The sequence below is a fragment of the Homo sapiens genome, chromosome 14 (assembly GCF_000001405.40).
Source record: "Homo sapiens chromosome 14, GRCh38.p14 Primary Assembly".
Taxonomy (NCBI): domain Eukaryota; kingdom Metazoa; phylum Chordata; class Mammalia; order Primates; family Hominidae; genus Homo; species Homo sapiens.
The window spans coordinates 44,193,192-44,219,632 of NC_000014.9; the positions used below are offsets into that span (position 1 = coordinate 44,193,192).

General features: G+C 33.5%; 1 long non-coding RNA gene across 1 annotated transcript in view, besides 1 other annotated feature; it reads right to left on the reverse strand.

Annotated features, from left to right (window-relative positions):
* Positions 1–26,441, reverse strand: part of LINC02307 (long intergenic non-protein coding RNA 2307) — a 395,530-nt gene that overhangs the window by 202,660 nt on the left and 166,429 nt on the right. The gene's annotated exons all lie outside the window — the stretch shown is intronic.
* Positions 11,092–11,292: a silencer, noted in NCBI's record as "peak2140 fragment used in MPRA reporter construct". NCBI's record gives its function as "represses an SCP1 promoter by STARR-seq MPRAs in K562 erythroleukemia cells {active_cell/tissue: K562}" and the evidence as "EXISTENCE:reporter gene assay evidence [ECO:0000049][PMID:32103011]".

Here is a 26,441-nt window from a genome sequence, read left to right on the forward strand (position 1 = left end):
ATCCATTAAACCTCTTTTTCTTTTTTTATGAATTACCCCATCTCTGGTATGTCTTTATTAGCAGCATGAGAACAGACTAATACATACATTGAACAGTTAAGACTAGGTGATGCTACAATAACTGACAACTTCTAAATCTCATCAGCTTCAAACAAAACTTATTTCTTTTTATATGTGCAAAATGTGGTTGGTGAGTGACAGGTGTGGAGACTAATTCACAGTCACTCAGGGTCTAAGGTAGACACTACCATCTTGGAGCTACACCACGGGGTATTTGTGGTCTTCATTTTCACTGTGGCCAGGGAAGAGAGTACTAAAGAGTCTCTCTTAAGAGAGACTTAATTAAATGCCTCAACCAGAAAGTGACAATTTCACTTTCTATCACAGATCATGGCTCCAACTAACTGCTGGATTGCAGTCACTAATAGAAACAAAATCCTCCTATATGCCCAGAACGATATGAGATGGATGAGGGCTAGAAGTCCCATTCATAGCTATTGTTTGTGGCACATATCATCCACAGCAGACATTGTCAGTATATACTCATATTATTTAACAATTTTTTAAATCTTTATACTCAGTTTTACCCTCCACACAATCATAAATTAAAACAAGTTCCAGTGCAGAGGCTTTCCACAAACTATTCCACAAAGTATTAGAGTATGTGAGCCATTTCCAAAATTTTCTGTGGAAACATTGTAAGTCATTTAAGTAATAAGCATAAGCTCATGAAAATATCACAACTGAACATCGAATTAACTGAAAGACAAGAGGAGAAGAGACACACAAAGGCATAGTGGAACCTCTAGGACAGGGTCAAAATAAGAAGACAATAAATTTTGCTAATATTTTAAGATTCTTTGGTTTGAACTTGCTCACTCTATATCACTGTCTGATAACTAATTAGAATTTGTAGTGTGAATTTGGGTTTTATTTGCACTTGCATTTTGAAAACGCAAATGTTTTGTTATAGATAATTGCAATGTTGTAGAAATGTATGTATATTAACTTTAATTACAACTGCTCTGGTAGCTAAATAGCCTGTTTTGCAATTGCTTTACACAGACAGACAGCTAATAAGACCTAAGATGAACCTTAAAATCTGATATTTATGTTTACAAATTAATTTAAGAGTACTCCCTCCAATGTCTGTATACTAAACTAAAATAACCTGGTAGAGTCATTAAGAATATTTTAGGCCTTAAGAGTCTTCTTAACTACTCATAGCACATTTTGATTGAATCATAAAGAAATTTCAAAGGTTGTTATTAGTTACAGTGTGAGGAAAACATATGTTTGTAGAAAGGCATAGTTTGTTCAATAATTTTTAAGGGTATTTGTTAGAATTCTAATATTTTTAAAGGTTCAAGAAAAATTGTTGCCCTTATATTAGGCAATTATAGTAACAAGAATAGATTTGTTACATATAGTATAAGTATTTTGGGGGTAAAAAAGTTTTTGGACCAAGCCAGATGACAGTGATGCAGGAAGAGTATGACCTTTCTATTATGCAGCATATTTGTGCTACGTCTTCCTTACCAAGAAGAAGTATGAACAAAGAATCAGAAATATACCATTATGTTCAGGTTTCAAGAATAGTGCTTCAAGGTGAGAAGAATTTTTTCTATGCATTTTACTAGTAATAAAAGAATCTTAAATCAACCAAGAAAAATATAAAAGGTCTGGAGGGTGACAACAGAAAGAAAAGAAAAGGCTGGAGAACATGAGTTTACTTAACCTCCAGAACAGAGTCAGGACAAACAAAGAACACTTGGTGAAGACAGAGCAAACCCAGACACACGGATATTTAATCAGCTAAAAGCTACAGCAATGTGAAGCTATATAACAACACTGGCCAGCCAAATACAAGGTTAAATGTGTTTCAGGCCTAGAGCTTAGAGCTGTTGCCTATTTCCTGGAAGTTTCAATCTGAATTTTAAAATAAATTTGACATGAAAGCCAGTCAAGTCACTGTATAGACAAGTAAAGTTAGACTTAACTACCCACTTAGGTTTTACACAAATATTTTAAAATTATTTTAAAATAGCTGCTCATTGTTTATAGGTTGTCCATAGGTTGACCGATAATAATAATGTTTTCACAAATGATTTACTTTTACAAAGATTGGATCATGGTTTATACTACATATTTCATGAGAGTAATACAGTCTATCTTATCTCTATTTTGCCTGCAAACAAAAACTTAACATGCAAGCATACATCCTAAAGAAATATTCAGGGTTAGGATGATATGTTCAATCCTAATTTGTAAAGTCAAAAAAAAAGAGTGCTATTGTTTAATTTTATACTATTAGATGTTGTTAGTTTTAGCTGTTCCTCTACTCAGAGGTAATTAAACTACCGCAACTATTCACTTAGAAGCAATTAAATTTGTCTTTACTAATCAATCTCAGACTGTTAATGCAGATTTAATGTACGCAGATAAGGAGGAGGTATAATAGTTGTTTCATATAATATCATTCTCTCCATTAATTTCCTTCTTTATTCCTAGAGTAAATGTTGTAATATGGTACCTGGTCATTTAGGAAATAAACTGGTAATACATTTTGCACTAGTAAGCCAAGGGTCAACCTCCAAACTTTTCTAGGATAAACTTCCTCTATGTTATTTGGAAATAGTGCCATTTGATCATGGCTGAGTTATCCCAATTGGCAGTTTCATTTTAATGAAATGTACTCCCCACTGTTTTCAGCTCTGCCACAGACACCTTTGGCTTTGGTTCTCTTCAACCCTAAGCACTCATTCCATAAAATGTTGCACTGGCCTCCGTTGAAGCATTTGAAGCAGAAAAAAATAACAGAAAACCAAAATCAGTTCTTCAAAATCAAAAGCAGTTCTTTTAAAAGACTGCTCTAAGACTCAAACTCCAAGCTAATTATCAACAACTATCTAAAGCATAAAGGGACTTTGGGATAATTTTCGGTGCCAGTAATCACAAATGACTAAGAATAACTTATTCAGTTAGATCCTTGTGACAGCACATATGCTTGTACATATGCACTGGAAACAGTGTTTTTTTACTCTCAGGTTAAAATCTTGAAAACAGTTATCTAATAAGAATCTTCACGTATCTGTTAAAAAAGAATTCAGATTTCCAAGCCCCTTCCCTGAAGTTTCTTCCCTGTAATTTGTATGCTAATTATTGCTTCTAGTTATTATTAGTGTCCGACAGTTGAGAGATATTTTTCTGAAACAAATGGAAAGATCTTTCTGGAAAAGATTCTAAGGCTCAGTTGAGGCTAGGGAAGGAATCTGATTAGAGCCTGGAGTAATTGTACCTCTACAAAACTAGCATGGGAAAATTAATTGTGAAAAAGGAAGGAAAAAAGGAAGAGGGAAGGAAAAGATAGAGGAAGGCGGAAAAGAAAAGGTGTATTAGGACCCGAGGATATTGTGATTCATGATTTGCTGACAAACTCAGTTTAGGGCTTAATTTTTCTGAAGTGAGATATCTGGAAAAAGATATGGAACCCTGGATTGGTGAGCAAGTCAGTACACTTATTTACTTACAGCCTCTCCCTACTGGCATCCAAATATAAGAAAAAAAAAAAAAACTAGCAATTTGGAAAAGCGAATCCTCAGAAATGTTACCAACTTCAGTATAGAATCTATAGTTTAACCAAAAGGAAGAAAGATAAATCAAGGACTTAGAAATAGAGATTATATATTAAAAGTAAGTTTGAGTCAACATAATTATTTATGTATAACATAAAAATATACAAACATTTAGAATAAAAATCTGATATGATTTCAAATGAAGAGGTAGGGGATGTGTATTTCATTGGCAGGATATAAATAAAAAGTTAATCTAAAAAATATTAGAAAATTAAAAGTTAAAATATTCCTTTTAAATTTTAAGCATAAGTGTAAAAAAGTTAAAAAACTTAAAAGTTAAAATATTCTGTTTAAATTTTAAGTGTAAGGGTAAACAAGAAATAAAGGTAAGGGAAAATTACCTTACAGGAAATAAAAGGAAAGGTATAGATAAGAGAAACAAGAGTAAAAGAAAAAAGGAATAATTGTAAGTAAAGGAAAAAAGAAATAAAATATCTCAAATAGTCTAATAGAATGAAATACTAAAAAAAAAGAATGATAAATAGGGAAGAGAAAATAAGTTTACAGAAATAATCCCAAAAGCATAATCATAAAAAATAATGAGAATGAATTAAACCTTATATTTCTAGGCAGATTCTTTAAGATTCCCCACCTTGTCATGCACCCATTTGCACATACATTCAACATACTTGCATGAAACTCACTTATAATAAAACAATCCCCAAAAAGTGAAAAAAAAAAAAGGAAACACATCTGGAAAGATTCTGGCTAAATATATTTGATTAAAAATAAACTTGCTATCAAAACCTCACGGAAATATGAATAAAGGGATATAAAAACTCCACAAACAAGAAAATAGAATGGCAAAGGACACAATTGCTAATGAAATATGATAATACTGGTAGTTGGAAAGCAAATGGATAAGTGGAGACATTATAAACCACATAAAACATTCTTCAGTTTACAAGAGTCATCCAAGGAAAAATATTGATTCATGTTGTTATGGGAAATGCTCAGGTATGAGAACCAACCAACACTTCTGAAGGCTGTTTTGTAGATGAAGCAGAAAAGAGGCAGACCTTAAAATCAATATAAAAAGTTATTAGGCTCAGATCTCCTTTAAAAGCCAGTTGTAATGTGACTACACCTACAAACTCTGACAGAAACACAAGACTCATTATTTGGATATGTAAAGGCAGAATAACATTTGACCGAAGGAAAGCAGGAATTACTACATGCGATAGTGTTATGCTGTAAATAAATGAAAGTCAACACACAATGCAGAGACCTTCCTTCTCCACTTACCTCTTCCTCAAGCTTCCTCTCCAGTTTGACTCAATAACCCCAGGCAAAAGATTTAACAACTTCTGTTTGGAGAAATGAACCAACCAAAGGGAAAAGACAGTAATACCAGCAGTCATATTCCCAAATAAATTAGCCTATCAGTTAAAAAGTCTTCGATTTCCTTCCAAGCAGTATTTCCTAATTGTTAAACATGAATAGATAATCAAGTAGCACCTCCCATTAGAGAACGATGTTAACAAAGAGAGCAGAAATCAAACCAAAAAAGCAAAAAGGAAAGCAGAGAAACAAGGACAATGAAGGGACTCAAACTTTATGTGTGTGTGTGTGTGTAACTGGTGTGTGTGTGTGTATATATATAAACCGGCAACTTTATATATATATATATATATATATCTGGTAATACGTTTTACACTAGTAAGCCAAGGGTCAACCTCCAAACTTTTCTAGGAAAAACTTCCTCGATGCTATTTGGAAATAGTGCCATTTGATCATGACTGACTTATCCCAATTGGGAGTAATGACATGTACTCCCCACTGCTCTCAGCTCTGCCACAAACACCATATGTGTGTGTGTGTGTGTGTGTGTGTGTGTGTGTATATAAAATTTATTAATATATTTATTTATATATTTTTATATAGTATAAATATATTTATATATTTATTTATATATTACTTATATATATTTGTTATTTATATATTTATATATTTTATTTACATATTTAAAAATATATTTTATATATATTTATATATATATATATAATTACAATGATATATCTGGTGAGAAAAAAAGAGATTAAGTGTCCATTAAATACTTTTAAAGGAAGAATCATTCCAAGAAAAAAGAGTGGCATCTTCCGGTATTCTACCTGGGTGATGTAGTTATTAAGCCAACTTCAGGAAGGAGCCAAACCATGAGGAGGCAAGTGGAGAGAGAAGGTGTCTCCACTATGTGTATTGACTTTCCCATACTGTTCACAGCACAACACTCTGTAATAAAATTACCACATACTCTGTGTTGACATCTAAGTGCCTAGCACAATCCTGTAAAGATAATGGTTACTGTAAACCAAAACTTGAGATTCTCTTACTAGAAAGTCAAATAAATGACTGAATTTACTATAGTTCTGAATAAAGCAAGAAATAGTAACATAAACAAATTATTTATAAATATGGATGTAAATGCCAGAATAAATGTACAAATAAATGAAAGCACTTGAATCTAAAATGTAGGAATTGGGAAATGGAAAAGTAAAGCATGGTAATCTTGTTTATGGAACATGACTCGTTGAGGTTTTGACTTCTTAAACTATGTATATATATCTTTTTAAGTAAAATTTATCTTTTACATAAAATTTAAAATAAAATTTTAAAATTCAAAGATAAGCTTAAAAAAGGAAATTAATCACTTTGCAAACTCAAAGACAGCACACACAAAAAAAGGAGAAGGGAGAAAAGAAAGAAAAAAGGGAAGAAGGGAGGGAAGGAGGGAAGAGGGAAGAAAGGGAAGACAGAAGGAAGTAAAGAAAGGCCAGCTAAATAAATGTTTATTAAAATATTATATGTTATATCTAATATCAGACATAGGGCAAATTTGAGGCAAAGAACAAATAATGCAAAAGTCAATGGGAAATAATCCTTCTAAAAATTTATGAAGATAGTTATTTTGCATTTGAATTTAGTATGCCTATTAATGCAAAGATATTCAATAAGACATTACAGAATTATATATTATATACATAACAGAATTATATTATGTTATAACAGAATTATACATTATAAGGACAATACTGTATGACAAAGTAGGGTTGTTTCAGGAATGCAAGGAATGTTTAATATTGGGAAATAATTATTTATTTATGAATAATTAAAATAACATGATCAAATCATAGCTGTTGACAAAAAGTATCATCATGCCCAATAAAAATTCTTGTCATGGTCATGCAGAGTGGCTCACACCTGCAATCCCAGTACTTTGGAAGGTGGAAGTGGGAAGATCACTTTAACCCAGAAGTTCAAGACCAGCCTGGGCAACATGGCAAAACCTTGTCTTTATAAAAAAGAAAGGAAAGAAAAGAAAACAAAAGAAAAGAAAAGAAGAAAGAAAGAAAAGAAAGAAAGAAAAAGAAAGAAAGAAAGAAAGAAAGAAAGAAAGAAAGAAAGAAAGAAAGAAAGAAAGAAAGAAAAAAAAGAAAGGGAAAGGAAAGGAAAGGAAGCAAGCAAGAAAGAAAGAAATTAGCAAGGATGATGCTGTTCAAAGGTAGTCCTAGCTACAAGGTAGACTGAGGCAGGAAGATCGTTAGAGCCCAGGAGCTCGAAATTACAATGAGCTATGATTGCACCACTGCACTCCAACCTGGGTGACAGAGCAAGACCCTGTCTCTAAAAAATAATGCAAGTCAAAACAAAATCAAACACAATGATTAAGTTGGAACCTCAGAAGTCTTCCTTTTAAAGTCTGGAACAAGACAAGAAAGTCAAAAGCAGTAAAAAGGCATTGGAAAGGAAGCAAAACATTGCCATTATATTTTAGATAATATGATTATATATGTAGAAATCCCAGGTTTAATGTTACAAATAAACATAAAATCTAGTATTTTCATTTTATAAAATTGATGTGTAAGAATGAACAGTTTCTAGTGCACAAACAACAATCAGTTATTATTGGAATTTAGTTCCATATTTATGGAAAAACAAAAATATTGCATACATGGTAATAAGCAGTAAGTCGAAAGTATGGAAAGAGTATAATAAAACACTAATGAGTGACAAAATAAAATATGTTAATAAATGGAAACATGCATCATGATCCTGGATACAAAAGTTCATAAAGTTTTCAATATTTCCTAAACTGACTCCTCAATTTGTTGGGATACCAAATAAAATAAAAGATTAGTAAATGACAAACTGACAATAAATTCAATTGGGAAAAAATTCAAGAATAGTAAAGAAACCCATCAAAATTAAAACTTGATAGTTGGTACCACTTTAAGACATTTGAAAATGTATTATAAAGCTTGAATAATGAAACAGGAATTGAAAATAAATCAAGAGGGTATACATCACTTATTTCAGTTCACAACATTACGAATTTTTAAAACCAAAGAATTTTTTTTTTTAATTATACTTTAAGTTTTAGGGTACACGTGCACATTGTGCAGGTTAGTTACATATGTATACATGTGCCATGCTGGTGCACTACACCCACTAACTCGTCATCTAGCATTAGGTATATCTCCCAATGCTATCCCTCCCCCCTCCCCCCACCCCACAACAGTCCCCAGAGTGTGATATTCCCCTTCCTGTGTCCATGTGATCTCATTGTTCAATTCCCACCTATGAGTGAGAATATGCGGTGTTTGGTTTTGTGTTCTTGCGATAGTTTACTGAGAATGATGATTTCCAATTTCATCCATGTCCCTACAAAGGACATGAACTCATCATTTTTTATGGCTGCATAGTATTCCATGGTGTATATGTGCCACATTTTCTTAATCCAGTCTATCACTGTTGGACATTTGGGTTGGTTATACTTACAAGAATTAAGGTACTCAACTATCCAGAGACAAGAAATGAATCACATTACAAGAATATTTAATTTTCCAGAATTTTATACACAGATTAACAATATTAACCATCATACACCTTTAACCTATCATAATTAACCTTCATATAACTTTTCACATATGTGAAAAACTTACCACAGTTCACTTTCATTTCCCTCTCTTATTCTTGTCCTATTATATTTTACATCAAAATATGTTATAGATCCCCAAATTTATGATTACTTTTGCTTTTAACTACAGATTCCTTTTTTTTTTTTTTTTTGAGACAGAGTCTTGCTCTGTTCCCCAGGCTGGAGTGCAGTGGCATGATCTCTGCTCACTGCAACCTCTGCCTCCTGGGATCAAGTGATTCTCCTGCCTCAGCCTCCCAAGTAGCTGGGATTATAGGCATGTGCCACCATACCTAGCTAATTTTTGTATTTTTAGTAGAGACATGGTTTCACCATGCTGGCCAGGCTGGTCTGGAACTCCTGACCTCAGGTGATCCACCCGTGTTGGCCTCCCAAAGTACTGGGATTATAGGTGTGAGCCACCAGGCACAGCACAATTATCTTTTACAGAGAAAAAAACTAAAAACAAAATCATATATTATTTTTACCCAGTTTATCATTTCCAGAATTCTTAATGTTTTAAGTAAATTTAGATTTTTATCTTGTGTAATTTTTTTAAAGCTTCCTTGTATATTTCTTATAGTTTAGGTGTGCAGACAATTTCCTCAGCTTTGTGTGTGTGTGTGTGTGTGTGTGTGTGTGTGTGTGCATGTCCCTCAATGGTAGCCTATCACCACCTTGTATTCATACAGGGCCCATAGCATGAATGGACTTCTCCAAGTACTCTTGTCAAACCTCAAACATTGACAAGTCTTGCTTACCTGTGCCTCTAAGAAGGGCTTTTCCATGTCTCCTACCTTTTCACCAGTCTTTCTCTTGAATACCTGATAAAAGCCCATAAAAAAATACTAGTGAGTGATTGGATGCATCCCTCTTTCTGGGGTTCTCAGGATTCTAAAATGTCTCAATTTTATAAAATCTACTTTAAATTTGGCTCTATATTATCCAGGTAATGCAATCTAGCCTCTTATAGTCTTAAGGATTTCAAAAATACTAATTTGCCTTCCCACCAACAGTGTGTAAGTGCTCCCTTTTGTCCTTATCCTTGACAACGTCCATTATTTTGTGAATTTTTAATGACAGCAATTCTGAAAGGTATAAGACAGTAGTTTTAATCTGCATTTCTCTGATAATTAGCGGTGGTGAGCATTTTTTCATATGCTTGTTGGTAGTTTGCATGTCTTCTTTTAAAAAATGTCTGTTCATTTTCTTTGCCCACTTTTTAATGGTTATTTGTTCCTTGCTGTTGCTGAGTTGTTTGAGTTCCTCATTAATTCTGGATATTAGTCCCTTGTGGAAAACAGTATGAAGATTTCTCAAAGAATTAAAAAATAGAATTGCCATTCAATCCAGCTATGACACTACTGGGTATCTACCCCCTGAAAAAAATTATGTGCAAAAGATAACCTGCACTCACATGTTTATCGCAACACTATTCACAATAGCAAAGACGTGGACTCAACCTAAGTGTCCAACAATAGATAATCACAGAAAGAAAATATAAAATGTATATACAATAGAATACTACTCAGCCATAAAAATGAATGAAATCACATATTTTGCAGCAACCTGGATGGACCTTGAGGCTTTTATCTTAAGTGAAACAACTGAGACACAGGAAGTCAAATATTGCATATTTTCACTTAGAAGTGGGAACTAAATAAGGTATACACACGGACATAGAGTGTGGAATAATAGACACTGGAGACTTGTAAGGGTGGAAGGGTGCTAGAGGTGTGAGGAACGAGAAATTACTTAATGGGTTCAATGTAACGTTATTCAGGTCATGGTTACACTAGAAGCTCAGACTTCATCACTATGCAATACTCACATAACAAAACTGTACTTGCACCCCTTAAATTTATACAAATGTTAATATTTTTAAACACTTTAAATTCTGTTTAAATTTCTTATTAAATTTAATTAAAATAATCAAATCAGTAAATTTAAACTCCTTATTATGAGAAATAATCTTCCCTACAACATAATAGAGCAAAAATATTTCAATTTTATTTGCTACTCACTGTCACCCTGGAAATATTGTGCCAGACACGTTAATAGAATATCCATAAATTTTTAAACAAATTTATCTTTGGTTGTATTTTTAAGTAGTGAATACTAAAGTTATACAGTTTCCTAACTGTAGTAGACAGAAACCAGCTCAGCTTTAACATATTTGACATGATACATTTTGTATCTGAGGATCCATCTGAGATTACCAGGCCATAATAAATACAAAAATTTTACTTAAATCCAACTGTGTAAAATAAGATGTAAAAGTTAACGAAGTCTTCGGCTGTAAAAAACTACTCCCTCACCCAAAAAAAATAAGTAACTTTTAAACCAGTGGTTATCAAACTGCTTCGTGTTAGAGCTATTTGGGGAGCTTTGAAGATTCCCAATGCATTCTATATAAGTTTAATCATAATCTCTAGGGATAGAACCCTGGCATCTCAGATATTCAAAACTCTTCAGGAATGTTCATTCTGCAGTCAAGTTTAAGGGCCAGTGGCTTAAACAAGATAGGAGGTAATTCTCTGTTATGTAAAAAGCAGTTTGGAGTTTATCTGCAGCTATACACAGTCCTCAGGGACTCAGACTTCTCTTTTTCCACAGTTCTATCTTTAAGAGCCTAGCTTTTATCTTCAAAGTCACTTCAGTGTCAAAAATGACTCTTAAATCTCCAGCGATTATACTCGTGCTTCAGTCAAGCAATAGGAGAAAGTAGGAGAGGAAAAAAAAAAAAAAAAAAAGCTTTGAGCTCCTTCCACTTATGGAACCTTCCCTGAAGTCCTACCTAGCTTATGCTTTTATATAAGTGAGCAGAAGTTGGACATATGAACAAACCTAGCAGCAATGAAAGCTGGGAAACATTTTCTTCTAGCTGGTCACATTACTCAGTTTTCTCTTACAAAACAGATGAATGCTGCACCCAAGAACAGCCTTTTACATACCAGGCTTAACTCACTGCCAAAATGTTTCCATTCATCCTTCACATATTGGAATTATAAAAAATATTTTATATCAGGAAAACTTCTGAACTGATGGGATAGCTGAAATGCCTTTTTTTAAACTATTTTCTTTCTGGCCCAAGTTAATGTTGTATTATATTTTTCCCCAGTTTCTTTATTCCATTGAAATAAGATCCTTTTTAATCCTTATTAAAATGAATGAAGGAAAGATAAATTAATTCTCAAAATTGACAACACGTGGGGTAGAAAGTTAGCAATATATCTGAAGAAATTCATAAGTATAGATATAGACCAAGTATTTTATTATCTTTGATGAGTCGGTCAAGCTCCCAAGTATGCAAGTTGACATTCAAAAGTAAGTTCGTAGGTATTATTAGAAAGGTGTTCATCTGTGTATGTTTCTAGATATAAGTAAGATATTTATTCATCCATCATGAGTTACCTTTCCAAATATTCATCTCTTTTATATTTTTGAGACAATAAAGTTTGAATTCCAGTTTTGTCACTTAGTATCTACACATCTTTTTCATGCAAGAAAACACAACACATTGTTATAAAATTCATATATAACCCTTCCTTCTTATTCTCCCTGCAAACTCATGAAAGCTCTAGTCATTGGCTAAAGAAGAAGCAGTTCAATAACAAGCAAGAGAATAGAAACAGAAAGATTGAATGTTATTCTTTTTTTTTTTCATAAAGTTAAGGGAAAATGGGATTCAATTCCATTTGCACTTAAAAGGACCCTTTAATATTGCTCCATGTAGCATTTTGAATACCTCTAAGTCAGGTAAGTAAAATAAATCTCCCTGTAGGCTAAGATGAAAAAATATTTATTTCATAACTTTGAATTTTTATTAAAATGATGAAAAAATTTTGCACCCATGGACCATACACATTGTTCAAAACTCTTAACACTAAAAACTTTTCATAACTAAATGCTGTTAATAAAATTACATGTTATAATTTGTTAGATAGAAATTTTATCTAAACAATGTATGTGCAAGTCAGATAACATTTTTAGTAAAAAATTATTCAAAGCAATAAACTAAAAAGAATATAATTCTTCCAAATAATATGAACCAAATTACTTTCTAGTAGGCAACACAAGATGCCACATAATTTGTTTTATTACAGAAAAATAAATGTATTTTCCGAGCTTAAGACTGAATTTTTAGAGCAATAGAATTAAAGTGCTAATTAACACATACCTGGCACAGCTTGACTAGGACACAACTTCCAAAATAACTTTTTTGAACTTTTAGAAAATATTATGCAATATCAAAGAAAATCCTGGTCCAGATCAAAGTGAAGACTAATTTAAAAGTTCATTTGAATTTTTAGTTTTTAAATCTAGTCAAAGATACCATATTTTATTGATACTCAATTAAATTAGAATGAAAACTAGGAACCAACAAGTTTGACCCTCATGCCTCTGAATCTAATTGTTTGTTGTAGCCTTCACGAGTTGAAATCTCACATTTGTTGAGACTAACAAAGAAAAACATGAAAGTTGTGTTTTAATATTATAATATTATAGATGCCCTCAAAATGTTATTTAAAATGTTAAAAATATTCTATGAGCAACTTAAAGACATATTTGAAAAATATTTATGTTAATATGCATATCAGCAGTTAGACAAAAGAACCAAAATATATTAACAGTTTACAATCTCAACTCAAAAGATTTCGTTCAAAAACTGGTAAGGAATGGCACTATGCTTGAAATTAACTGTAGCTCTTAGGTATATCTAGCTCTCAGGTATATATACAGATTCTCATAAAATATTTGGGTTCCTGAAGCTTAGGAGTCCTCTTTTGTGATGCAATCCACAGTGTGTGTACAGGTGTCACTGACTCTGTTTATATCACCTTGTGGGAATTGGGGCTCAGAGAATTGGCATAAAAATGTTGATATTCTTGATACTGTTATTGTTTTGATAATGGACCATTCTTTACCTCTGGTTATAGAGTCTTCCACTAGCATCAGTAAAATTGTAGCAGGTTAATTTGCATGGCAAAGTGTCAGACCCATCACAATTCTTGACATCTGGTTCCGTTTAAAAATACGTAATTTAAAAGCTTAGCTATATGTTAGTAGGCTACATTTTAGAAACTTTATATATCATGTGTAGCTTTTTATCATTAGAAGATGTAGAAAATGTATTTAGCTAAAAAAAAATCTCAAATTCAATAATCCAGAGATTTGATGTATTTAGTTTCACATATTTTTGGATTTCTAGTTTTAAATTATAATTTAAGTAATACTACAAGTAATATTTTGGTCTACTGATTTAGACTTATTACTACATGTAAAGTTTTTAAAATTTAGCCTATAACCATAAAACTAAGCTTTATATTATATAAAATGCACCCACAATGGTGATTTCAGAAAATACTATGTGCTCTTTGCAGCCCAATTGAATAATTTTAGAGATTTTATATATATATACATATATATATATAAATAAAACCATCCTGTGGAGACTAGAAACACATACATTAAGCTTACAATTTTATCATAATGACACGAAAGGCCATACAAAATTGAATCATGTTAGAGATTTGCAAAATATAATTCTTACACTTCCCAACTTTGTTTGTTCTTTGAGACAGAGTCTTGCTCTGTCGCCAGGCTGGAGCACAGTGGCGCGATCTCAGCTTATTGCAACCTCTGACTCCCTGGTTCAAGCAACTAATTCTCTTGCCGCAGATTCCCGAGTAGCTAGGATTACAGGCACGCACCACCATGCCCAGATAATTTTTGAATTTTTTTTTTTTTTTGTAGAGTCGGGGTTTCCTTATGTTGGCCAGGATGGTCTCGATCTCCTGACCTCGTGATGTGCCCACCTCTGCCTCCCACAGTGCTCGGATTATAGGCGTGAACCACAACACGCAGCCGAACAAATTTTATTAAGTAAATCAATAAAAATTTATTTCCCTTACATAAGGACCTACAGTTAATAATCAATGTTCTCATAGAGATTTGAATTTTCTCTATATTTACAAATACACAATTGACACTATAGAACAATAATTAATTGCCCTATTTTCTCCTACAGTATGTTTTAAATAGATCGCACATGGCCTAAGAGAGTTAGAGATTGTTCTAATCACACAACTGTACTCTAGAAAGTAACATTACTGCTGAATAAAATAATGCTTGTGTATAAAGAAAAATTTGGAAAATAGCAATCAGAATTGAGTTGCCCTTTCTGGATGTAAAGAAAAAGATACACTAAAAACAGAAAAATGTTTATCACAGGAAAATCTGAAACAAGTATTAACAACTGGGAAATAAATAAAATATCTTCTGTCCTTACCACAAACAAAATAGAACTATCAATTAAATTATACTGAATTTCACATCAGAGAACCAATTTCAGTGAATACCTTCATAGTGATTACAACCTATGTATAAGGAGTGGCTTCATTAGATGATTATATGGCTTTTGTTAGAAATTTTTAAATTAAAGTCTTCGTAATAGGGTGAATTTATGAAAGGCCTCCATGTTTTTCTTGTTTCTATAATTCAGTAGTTAGCAATAAAATAATGTTTTTCCCATTAAGTATTTTTAAAATAATGTTTACTTGTTTCAAAAAATTATGTTTCGAAAAAATATATTGAAAATTATAGGAGCTGGTTTTTTGAAAAGATCAACAAAATTGATAGACCGCTAGCAAGACTAATAAAGAAGAAAACACAAAAGAATCAAATAGACACAATAAAAAAGGATTAAGGGGATATAACCACCGATCCCACAGAAATACAAACTACCATCAGAGACTACTATAAACACCTCTATGCAAATAAACTAGAAAATCTAGAAGAAATGGATAAATTCCTGGACACAAACACCCTCCCAAGACTAAACCAGGAAGAAGTTGAATCCCTGAAGAGACAAATAACAGGCTCTGAAATTGAAGCAACAATTAATAGCCTAGCAACTAAAAAAAGTCCAGGACCAGATGGATTCACAGCCGAATTCTACCAGAGGTACAAGGAGGAGCTGGTACCATTCCTTCTGAAACTATTCCAATCAATAGAAAAAGAGGGAATCCTCCCTAACTCATTTTATGAGGCCAGCATCATCCTGATACCAAAGCCTGGCAGAGACAAAACCAAAAAAGAGAATTTTTGACCAATATCCCTGATGAACATCGATGCAAACATCCTCAATAAAATACTGGCAAACTGAATCCAGCAGCACATCAAAAAGCTTATCCATCATGATCAAGTGGGCTTCATCCCTGGGATGCAAGGCTGGTTCAACATACACAAATCAATAAACGTAATCCAGCATATAAACAGAACCAAAGACAAAAACCACATGATTATCTCAACAGATGCAGAAAAGGCCTTTGAGAAAATTCAACAGCCCTTCATGCTAAAAACTCTCAATCAATTAGGTATTGATGGGATGTATCTCAAAATAATGAGCGCTATTTATGACAAACCCACAGCCAATATCATACTGAATGGGCAAAAACTGGAAGCATTCCCTTTGAAAACTGGCACAAGATAGGGATGCCCTCTCTCACCACTCCTATTCAACATAGTGTTGGAAGTTCTGGCAAGGGCAAACAGGCAGGAGAAAGAAATAAAGGGTATTCAATTAGGAAAAGAGGAAGTCAAATTGTCCCTGTTTGCAGATGACATGATTGTATAATTAGAAAACTCCATCGTCTCAGCCCAAAATCTCCTTAAGCTGATAAGCAACTTCAGCAAAGTCTCGGGATACAAAATCAATGTGCAAAAATCACAAGCATTCTTATACATCAATAACAGACAAACAGAGAGCCAAATCATGAGTGAACTCCCATTCACAATTGCTTCAAAGAGAATAAAATACCTAGGAATCCAACTTACAAGGGATGTGAAGGAGCTCTTCAAGGAGACTACAAACCACTGCTCAATGAAATAAAAGAGGACACAAACAAATGTAAGAACATTCCATGCTCATGGGTAGGAAGAATCAATATCGTGAAAATGGCCATACTGCCCAAGGTAATTTATAGATTCAATGCCATCCCCATCAAGCTACCAATGACTTTCTTTATGGAATTGGAAAAAGCTACTTTGAAGTTCATATGGAACCATAAAACAGCCTGCACTGTGAAGACAATCCTAAGCCAAAAGAACAAAGCTGGAGGCTTCACACTACCTGACTTCAAACTATACCACAAGGCTACAGTAACCAAAACAACATGGTACTGGTACCAAAATAGAGATATAGACCAATGGAACAAAACAGAGCCCTCAGAAATAATACCACATATCTACAACCATCTGATCTTTGACAAACCTGACAAAAACAAGCAATGGGGAAAGGATTCCCTATTTAATAAATGGTGCTGGGAAAACTGGCTAGCCATATGTAGAAAGCTGAAACTGGATCCCTTCCTTACACCTTATACAAAAATTAACTCAAGTTGGATTAAAGACTTACATGTTAGACCTAAAACCATAAAAACCCTAGAAGAAAACCTAGGCAATAACATTCAGGACACAGACATGGGCAAGGACTTCATGTCTAAAACACCAAAAGCAATGGCAACAAAAGCCAAAATTGACAAATGGGATCTAACTAAACTCAAGAGCTTCTGCACAGCAAAAGAAACTATCATCAGAGTGAACAGGCAACCTACAGAATGGGAAAAAATTTGTGCAATCTACTCATCTGACAAAGGGCTAATATCCAAAATCTACAAAGAACTTAAACAAATTTACAAGAAAAAAACAAACAATCCCATCAAAAAGTGGGCGAAGGATATGAGCAGACGCTTCTCAAAAGAAGACATTTATGCAGCCAACAGATACATGAAAAAGTGCTCATCATCACTGGCCATCAGAGTAATGCAAATCAAAACCATAATGAGATACCATCTCACACCAGTTAGAACGGCAATCATTAAAAAGTCAGGAAACAACAGGTGCTGGAGAGGATGTGGAGAAATAGGAACACTTTTACACTGTTGGTGGGACTGTAAACTAGTTCAACCATTGTGGAAGACAGTGTGGTGATTCCTCAAGGATCTAGAACTAGAAATACCATTTGACCCAGCCATCCCATTACTGGGTATATACCCAAAGGATTATAAATATTGCTGCTATGCTGCTATAAAGACACATGCACACGTATGTTTATTGCAGCACTATTCACAATAGCAAAGACTTGGAACCAACCCAAATGTCCATCAATGATTGACTAGATTAAGAAAATGTGGCACATATACACAATGGAATACTATGCAGCCATAAAAAAGGATGAGTTCATGTCCTTTGTAGGGACATGGATGAAGCTGGAAACCATCATTCTCAGCAAACTATTACAAGGACAAAAAACCAAACACCGCATGTTCTCACTCATAAGTGGGAATTGAACAATGAGAACACTCGGACACAGGAAGGGGACCATCACACACCGGGGCCTGTTGTAGGGTGGGGGTATGGGGGAGGGATAGCATTAGGAGATATACCTAATGTAAATGATGAGTTAATGGGTGCCGTACACCAACATGGCACATGTATACATAGGTGACAAACCTGTACGTTGTGCACATGTACCCTAGAACTTAAAGTATAATAAAAAAAAAGAAAATTATATTGACAAGAATTCTGGTAAAGGTAACTTCTAACAGAGTCCCTCCTTGAAACCAACCCTAAGTGAGAAGAGAAGAGAAAGATTGGTGAAAAAGGAATACAGAAGCCAAAAGATGAATGTAGAGAATGTTCTTACTCCATGTCACAAATATTTAAGGAATCCTTCCAGGTACCAAATACATAATTCTAAATAAAAGACTATCCAAGGATTCAATGGGAACCCAGTTAGAGGAATTTCTGGTCATTCCTACTGTACCCCCTTATTTAAGAAAGTGAAATCTAGAAACTCTAGCAAACCAAGGAAAATAAAGTCATTCCTATTTAATACACTTTCTTATGTACCAGATAAAGAAATGAAAATTTAAAATGAGTTCTAGTGGTTTGCTCTAATACTATTTCTTAATAGGAAAATGGGGATGCATAAGTAAGTGGGGAGCAGAATTTCTCAACTATGGATGGTAAAAAGAATTGAAGTCTAGAAATTTGACAGACATTAGAAAGATAGTCTCAATATGCCCATAGCTATTTTCTGCACTAAGAACTAAAAGAGGAAGAGAAGGTTATGCTGATAGGAAAACCCAAGTGGTCACCCAAACCAAAAACCCACAGGAAGTAGTAGCCGTAACGGTTTATTTCACCAATAATTAATAGACAACTTAAAAGAGATGTGACAAAACAAGTGCTCTCAAAACTAGAGAGAGGAGTACCATGGATAAAAATTGAACAGAACCACACTGTGTACATGGAGTAGAAACATGAATGAATGAAACTCTAGCTATTAAACAATGGCTCCTAGTGCATTAGTTAACATAGAGAAAAACTAGGTCAGTATTGAGTTCTACCCAAATCTGGAACTGCCCAGAATCTCAGTTTCTTCCTCAGAACCTCTTGACATTAAATGGTATAATGAAAATATTTACTACAAAACTCCCTTCTTAAGTTCTAAGAAAATAATTCAGATAAATAGAGAGGTATATAAAAATGGGTCTCCACACAAAATGACCTATACTATTTTTAAGCAAAGACCAGCTTGGGCTGAAAAATTGAGAATCAAAAAATAGGAAAGTGGAAGATCATGCAAAACCTTTGAAACAAAAATTAAGGAATAATACCTCTCTTGAGAAATGAGATTAAAAGTATAAATGTGAATACCAGAAAAAGCCTGAATAGTGAATAATGGGAAAGGAGAAAAATGATAAGGAGAGAGTTTAGGACTAAACAGTAGAAGGATGGGAAAGGGGAAAGAATTAGAAAGAGGAGAAGTAAGAAACAAAATAAAACAAAGCATGGGAAAAAAAGAAAGAGAGAAAAAGAAAATATCTCTAGCTTGTGAAAGAAGAGATTCTCATAAATTTGTTTGAGTTCATTGTAGATTCTGGATATTAGTCCTTTGTCAGATGAGTAGGTTGCAAAAATTTTCTCCCATTCTGTAGGTTGCCTGTTCACTCTGATGATGGTTTCTTTTGCTGTGCAGAAGCTCTGTAGTTTAATTAGATCCCATTTGTCAATTTTGGCTTTTGTTGCCATTGCCTTTGGTGTTTTAGACATGAAGTCCTTGCCCAAGCCTATGTCCTGAAAGGTATTGCCTAGGTTTTCTTCTAGGGTTTTTATGGTTTTAGGTCTAACATGTAAGTCTTTAATCCATCTTGAATTAATTTTTGTATAAGGTGTAAGGAAGGGATCCAGTTTCAGCTTTAGAAAAAAACAAAGAACCCCATCAAAAAGTGGGCAAAGGATATGAACAGACACTTCTCAAAAGAAGACATTTATGCAGCCAAAAAACACATGAAAAAATGCTCATCATCACTGGCCATCAGAGAAATGCAAATCAAAACCACAATGAGATACCATCTCACACCAGTTAGAATGGCGATCATTAAAAAGTCAGGAAACAACTAGTGCTGGAGAGGATGTGGAGAAATAGGAAGACTTTTACACTGTTGGTGGGACTGTAAACTAGTTCAACCATTGTGGAAGTTGGTGTGGCGATTCCTCAGGGATCTAGAACTAGAAATACCATTCAACTCAGCCATCCCATTACTGGGTATATACCCAAAGGATTATAAATCATGCTGCTATAAAGACACATGCACACGTATGTTTACTGCGGCACTATTCACAATAGCAAAGACTTGGAACCAACCAAATGTCCAACAATGATAGACTGGATTAAGAAAATGTGGCACATATACACCATGGAATACTATGCAGCCATAAAAAATGATGAGTTCATGTCCTTTGTAGGGACATGGATGAAGCTGGAAACCATCATTCTCAGCAAACTATCACAAGGACAAAAAAACCAAACACCGCACGTTCTCACTCATAGGTGGGAATTGAACAATGAGAACACATGGACACAGGAAGGGGAACATCACACACCAGGGCCTGTTGTGTGGTCGGGGGAGTGGGGAGGGATAGCATTAGGAGATATACCTAATGTAAATGATGAGTTAACGGGTGCAGCATACCAACATGGCACATGTATACATATGTAACAAACCTGCACATTGTGCACATGTACCCTAGAACTTAAAGTGTAATAATAATAAAAAGAAAGAAGAGATTCTTAAGGAAGCAGAATCACAGAGGGGGAAAAAAGCCAACAAACTCTGTGTACCCTAATTTGTTTCCTTAACTTTCAAAAAATTTATTTTATTTTCAATTCACACCTAAAAATTGTGACAGTAAAGGACAACCAAATCTTGTCTTTTTCTTTAAGGACATATTTAGCCTTGGGTTAACTTTCTATTTCTGTTTCCTTGGAAACTTGATAAATTATAATGTCAGCTGTATTACCAGGGAAGGTTTCTTATGGTAAAAATGGCCACTGATTGATAAGTTACATTTGACTTGAAGTATGGATGGTTTAATGGTGAATTGTCTATATGTATTGTGTACAACATGAAGTTTTAATACATATATACACACTGTGGAATAGCTAAATAAAGCTAATTAACATATGTATTACATCGTATGTTTTCTTAACTTTGATTAAAATAAAATAATTTTTACTTTGCGAAAATAAAGTTTAAGTGAAGGAAAACTTGAATTTACATTCAAAAATAGTTTGTGGTGTAAATTTGAAGCAACCTGATAGACTAAGATGCTGAGATTACCCACCTTCTGAAAATAATTAAAATTTCCAGAAAAGAACATCATTTTATAAGATTATCTAGAATTCATTTAAGAAATTAAAAAAATACTCAGTCCAGAAACCAAGCAATTATGGGTATACAGAGAAATAAACCAAAGATGAATTTCAGCTTTTACATTGATGGTTTTGCCAGAAATACAAATTTGTATGCCATTCTCTACATAACACAGGAGATAGAAGAGAAAACCTATGTCCTATTTAAGTGGAGAGTCTACTAGGAGATCTTTGCCTAAAACTTCATGTGATCCTGGAAATAAAGTAGAAGTAGCTCTTCTCCCAGGAAATTGAAAGAATAACCATCTATCTTAAGCTCCAGCTGTAAGTGAAGAGAGAAAAATACATCCTCTAAAAATTTACAGTCACAATTAATCCCCACATGAGTTTATTGCTGTAAAAGTTTATAAAATGAGAACTGAGTTTAAAGTACTCTGGGATGTCTAATATTTAAGGTATTCATCAGAAGAGAAAGCAGTCTTTTCTGAGGAAATCCCTGTTCATCACAGATATCAAAGAATTGCTGAGGTTAAGTTCCTGGTAAAATAAGGACCTAATAAAGAAGTCCCCATGATATGAAATTGAAAACAAAAAACAATACAATAATATTCAGCAAAAATTAACTCCTGAAACTATAAGATTAAAATGTATTAAATAAATATATCAAGTATGTGTCAAAAAATAAAAGTTGTGGTAAAATATTAGTTCAGTACAAGAGTATTTAAGAAAGAATAAAAAAGAGTGCTTCGAAATTACAGATAGATAGATATAACCTGATATATATAAACCTGATATTTTGTCTTAATTTCAATTATTTTTATATCTATTGATATATATCTTCAATTATATTTATAATATACATATATTTATGTCTTCAAATATATATAAATAATTAAGACAGAATATTAGAGTCAAACTTTGAATAGATTAGTCACAGTTAGAAAATTCAGAATCTTTAAAATATACCTGAATAAATTATCTAGAATTATATAGAATACAAAAATAGAGGTTAAAAGAAAAAAATAAGAGAAAGACAAGTGAATGAAACTAGTATAAGTTTAATCAAAGTATTAAAAGAAAGGAGAGGATTGAGCAGAGGAAGTATTATTTTTAAAAAATGGATGACAATTTATAAAAACAGCTTAAGGACAAGTCTTCAAATTTGGAAATCCAAACTTATCACCAAGAATATAAATTTTTTTAAAAAATCTGCATGTGGGGGTAAGGGTATCTGTGTATTTCTGTGTGTGTGTGTGTACAGATATCTTTTTGTGTGTACAGACATATATATACACACACAAATACACCACAAAAAGCTACATCAAATTGAAAATATTAAATAAAGGTTGAGAAAAGAAGATATAAAACTGTAAAGGAAGAGATAATTAGATTGACAGCTGACTTTTAAACAACAATAATGGAGGCAAGAAGCATTGGCAAAAGAGAACATGGAATTATAAGAAATAAATAATTAACTGAAAAGGAAGCAAAAAATATTTAGTTAAATAAAAATATTGCCAAACTAAGTAGCTAAACATAGCTGTATGCTCTTAACAAGAGACATATCAAAAATTATAAGGATACAGAAAGTTTGAAAATAAAAACATTAGAAAATAATATACCAGGAAAGTTTCAACTAAAAGAAATCTGGCATAACTACACTAATATCTGAAAATATATCCTTTAAGGCAAAAAGATTAATAAAGAAAATAAAGTGAGAGTAAAGGACAACCAAATCTCATCTTTTTCGTTAAGGACATATTTAGACTTGGGTTAACTTTCTATTTCTGTTTCCCTGGAAACTTGATAAAGTATACTGTCAGCTGTATTACCAGGCAAGGTTTCTTATGGTAAAAATGGCCATTGATTGATAAATTACATTTGACTTGAAGTATGGATGGCGTAATGGTAAATTTTTGTATAAATTTTACTGGGATTAAGAAAGCTCAGGTAGCTGGTAAAACATTATTTCCAGGTGTGTGAATGTGAGGGGTGTTTTAAAAAGAGATTAGTGGCTGGGCATGGTGGCTCACACCTGTAATCCCAGCACTTTGGGAGACCAAGGTGGACGTATCACCTGAGGTCAGGAGTTTGAGACCAGCCCGGCCAACATGGGGAAACCTCATCTCTACTAAAAATACAAAAATTAGCCAGGTGTGGTGGCATGCCTGTAATACCAGCTACTCGGGAGGCTGAGGCAGAAGAATCACTCGAACCCGGGAGGCAGAGGTTGCAGTGAGCCGAGATCACACCACTGCACTTCAGCCTGGGCCACAGAGCAAGACTCCATCTCAAAAAAAAAAAAAAGAAAAAAAAAACAGAATAGCATAACACTGTAATTGTGGTATGAAAACTACGTTATCCGCATGTATGCATATGTAACAAACCTGCACATTGTGCACATGTACCCTAGAACTTAAAGTAGAATTTAAAAAAAAGAAAACTACTGTCATCCTAAGTAGAAAGACTAAATGATGAACCAATCAAAAATAATAACTACAACTTTTCAAGACATAGAGAGTTCAATAAGATATAAATAGAAACAATAAAAGGTTAAAAAGCCACGGGGGATGAAGTTAAGGTGCAGATTTTATATTAGTTTTCTTTTTGCTTGCTTGTTTATTTATGCAAAGAGTGATAAGCTGTTATCAAGTTTAAATAATTAGTTTTAAGATGGTATTTACAAGCCTCATGGTAACACCAAACCAAAAAATATACGATGAATACACAAAAAATAAAAAGCCAGAAAATAAATAATATCACCAGAAAAAAATCTCCTTCACTAAAGGAAGGCAGGAGGAAAGAAGGAAGAGAAGACCATAAAACAGCCAGAAAACAAATAACAACACAGCAGGAGTAAGTTATTACTTATCAATAATAATATTGAATGTAAATGGACTAAATTCTCCAATCAAAAGACAGAGTGGCTGAATGGATGAAAAAACAACACTCTTTGATTTACTGCATACAAGAAACACTCTTCACTTATGAAGATACACATAGGCTGAAAATAAAGGGATGGAAAAACATATTCCATGCCAACAGAAACCAAAAAAGAGCAGGAGTTGCTATACTTATATAAGAAAAAAGATTTCGGCCAGGTGTGGTGGCTCACGCCTGTAATCCCAGCACTTTGGGAGGCCAAGGCAGGCAGATCACAAGGTCAGGAGATTGAGACCATCCTGGCTAACACGGTGAAACCCTGTCTCTACTAAAAAATACAAAAAATTAGCCAGGCGTGGTGGCAGGTGCCTGTAGTCCCAGCTACTTGGGAGGGTGAGACAGGAGAATGGCGTGAACCCAGGAGGCGGAGCTTGCAGTGAGCCGAGATCGCGCCACTGCACTCCAGCCTGGGCAACAAAGTGAGACTCCATCTCAAAAAGAAAAAAAGAAAAAAGAAAAAAGATTTCTAGACAAAAACTATAGGAAGAGACAAAGAAGATCACTATATAATGATAAAGTGGTCAATTCAGTAAGAGGATATGAACAGACACTTCTCAAAAGAAGACATAGGCATGACAAAGAGGCATATGAAAAAATGCTCAACATCATTAATAATTAGAGAAATGCAAATCAGAACCACAATGAGATACCACCTCAACACTAGTCAGAATGACTATTATTAAAAAGCTCAGAAAAGAACAGATGTTGGCAAGTTGTGGAGAAAAGGGAATGCTTATACACCACTGGTGGGAGTATAAATTAGTTCAGCCAGTGTGGGAAGCAGTTTGGAGATTCCTCTAAGAACTTAAAACAGAATTACCATTTGATCTAGGAATCCCATTATTGGGTATATACCCAAAGGAATGTAAATCATTCTACCACAAAGACACATGTGTATATGTTCATCACAACACTAATCATAATAGCACAGACTTGGAGTCAACCTAAATGCCTATCAACAGTGAACTGGTTAAAGAAAATGTGGTACATATACACTATGGAATACTATGCAGCCTTAAAAAAGAATAAGATAATGTCCTTTGCAGCAACATGGATGGAGCTGGAGGCCATTATCCTAAGTGAATTAATGAAGTAACAGAAAAGCAAATACTACATGTTCTCACTTATACATGGGAGCTAAACATTGAGTACACATGAACACAAAAAAGGGAGCAATAGACATTGAGGCTTACTTGAGAGTGGAGAGTGAGAGGCGGGTGAGGATCTAAAAACTACCTATAGAGTATTATGCTTATTACCTGGGTGCTGAAATAATCTGTACACCAAACCCCCACAGCACACAATTTACCTGTATGACAAATCCTTCCATGTACTCCCTTAACCTAAAACAAAAGTTAGAAAATAATGTGAAAATTAAATAAAAATTAATAAATAGGTAAACTTCGACCTCATTATTACTCTGTAAATGAACTAAAAGTTCTTAAACTACCTTGACATTTAAGTTGCACATTATCCTGGACAAGAAACCTATGTAAATTACTCATCCAAAGACAACAGATGTTTTTGTTTCCTTAAATCTTAGAAAATTATTTTGTCTAAATACATATAATTAAAAAATAAAATTATTTATTCACTGAATTTGTTGGTATGTATGCCACTGTGACAATAAGTGTTATATTTCCATCCTTCCCAGGTGTTATAAAACTGAAAATTAAATATACTCAATACATATGAAACCTTTCCTCACTCAAAAGTTTACAGTGCAGCTTTTTTCCTCTTCTTTACCTTTCCTTCTTGTTTTCTTTCTTCCTATTCATACTTTTTTAAAATATGTTTGACCATATTCTAAATACTACTTTGAATAAAAGCATAATTGCTTTTACTAGAATGTAAATAAAAATTATTGTGGAATTAGGTGTTATATTTATTAAGGAATAAAATAAGCATTTTTCTTTCTAGTGCTTGAAATAATATTGTTTTAATTGTTCCTGAACATTTGTAAATTAGTCTTTATCAGATGTTTTGGCAAACTTGCCAAGCAGAGTGAAGGTTAAAACAGTAACTCAAAAAGTGTTCTTCGTACCACAATTCACACTTCCTGCTTAAAATCTGAGGAATGCTCTCAACTGCGTATTTCATTTAATTAGTAGGTCTGATCAAAGGTAGGTGAATAAGAGTTCAGTGTTTTCTCATAGGTATAGATATATATAAATGGCTTCATTACATACTTATATCTATATTCATGGGTAAATTTTAGAAT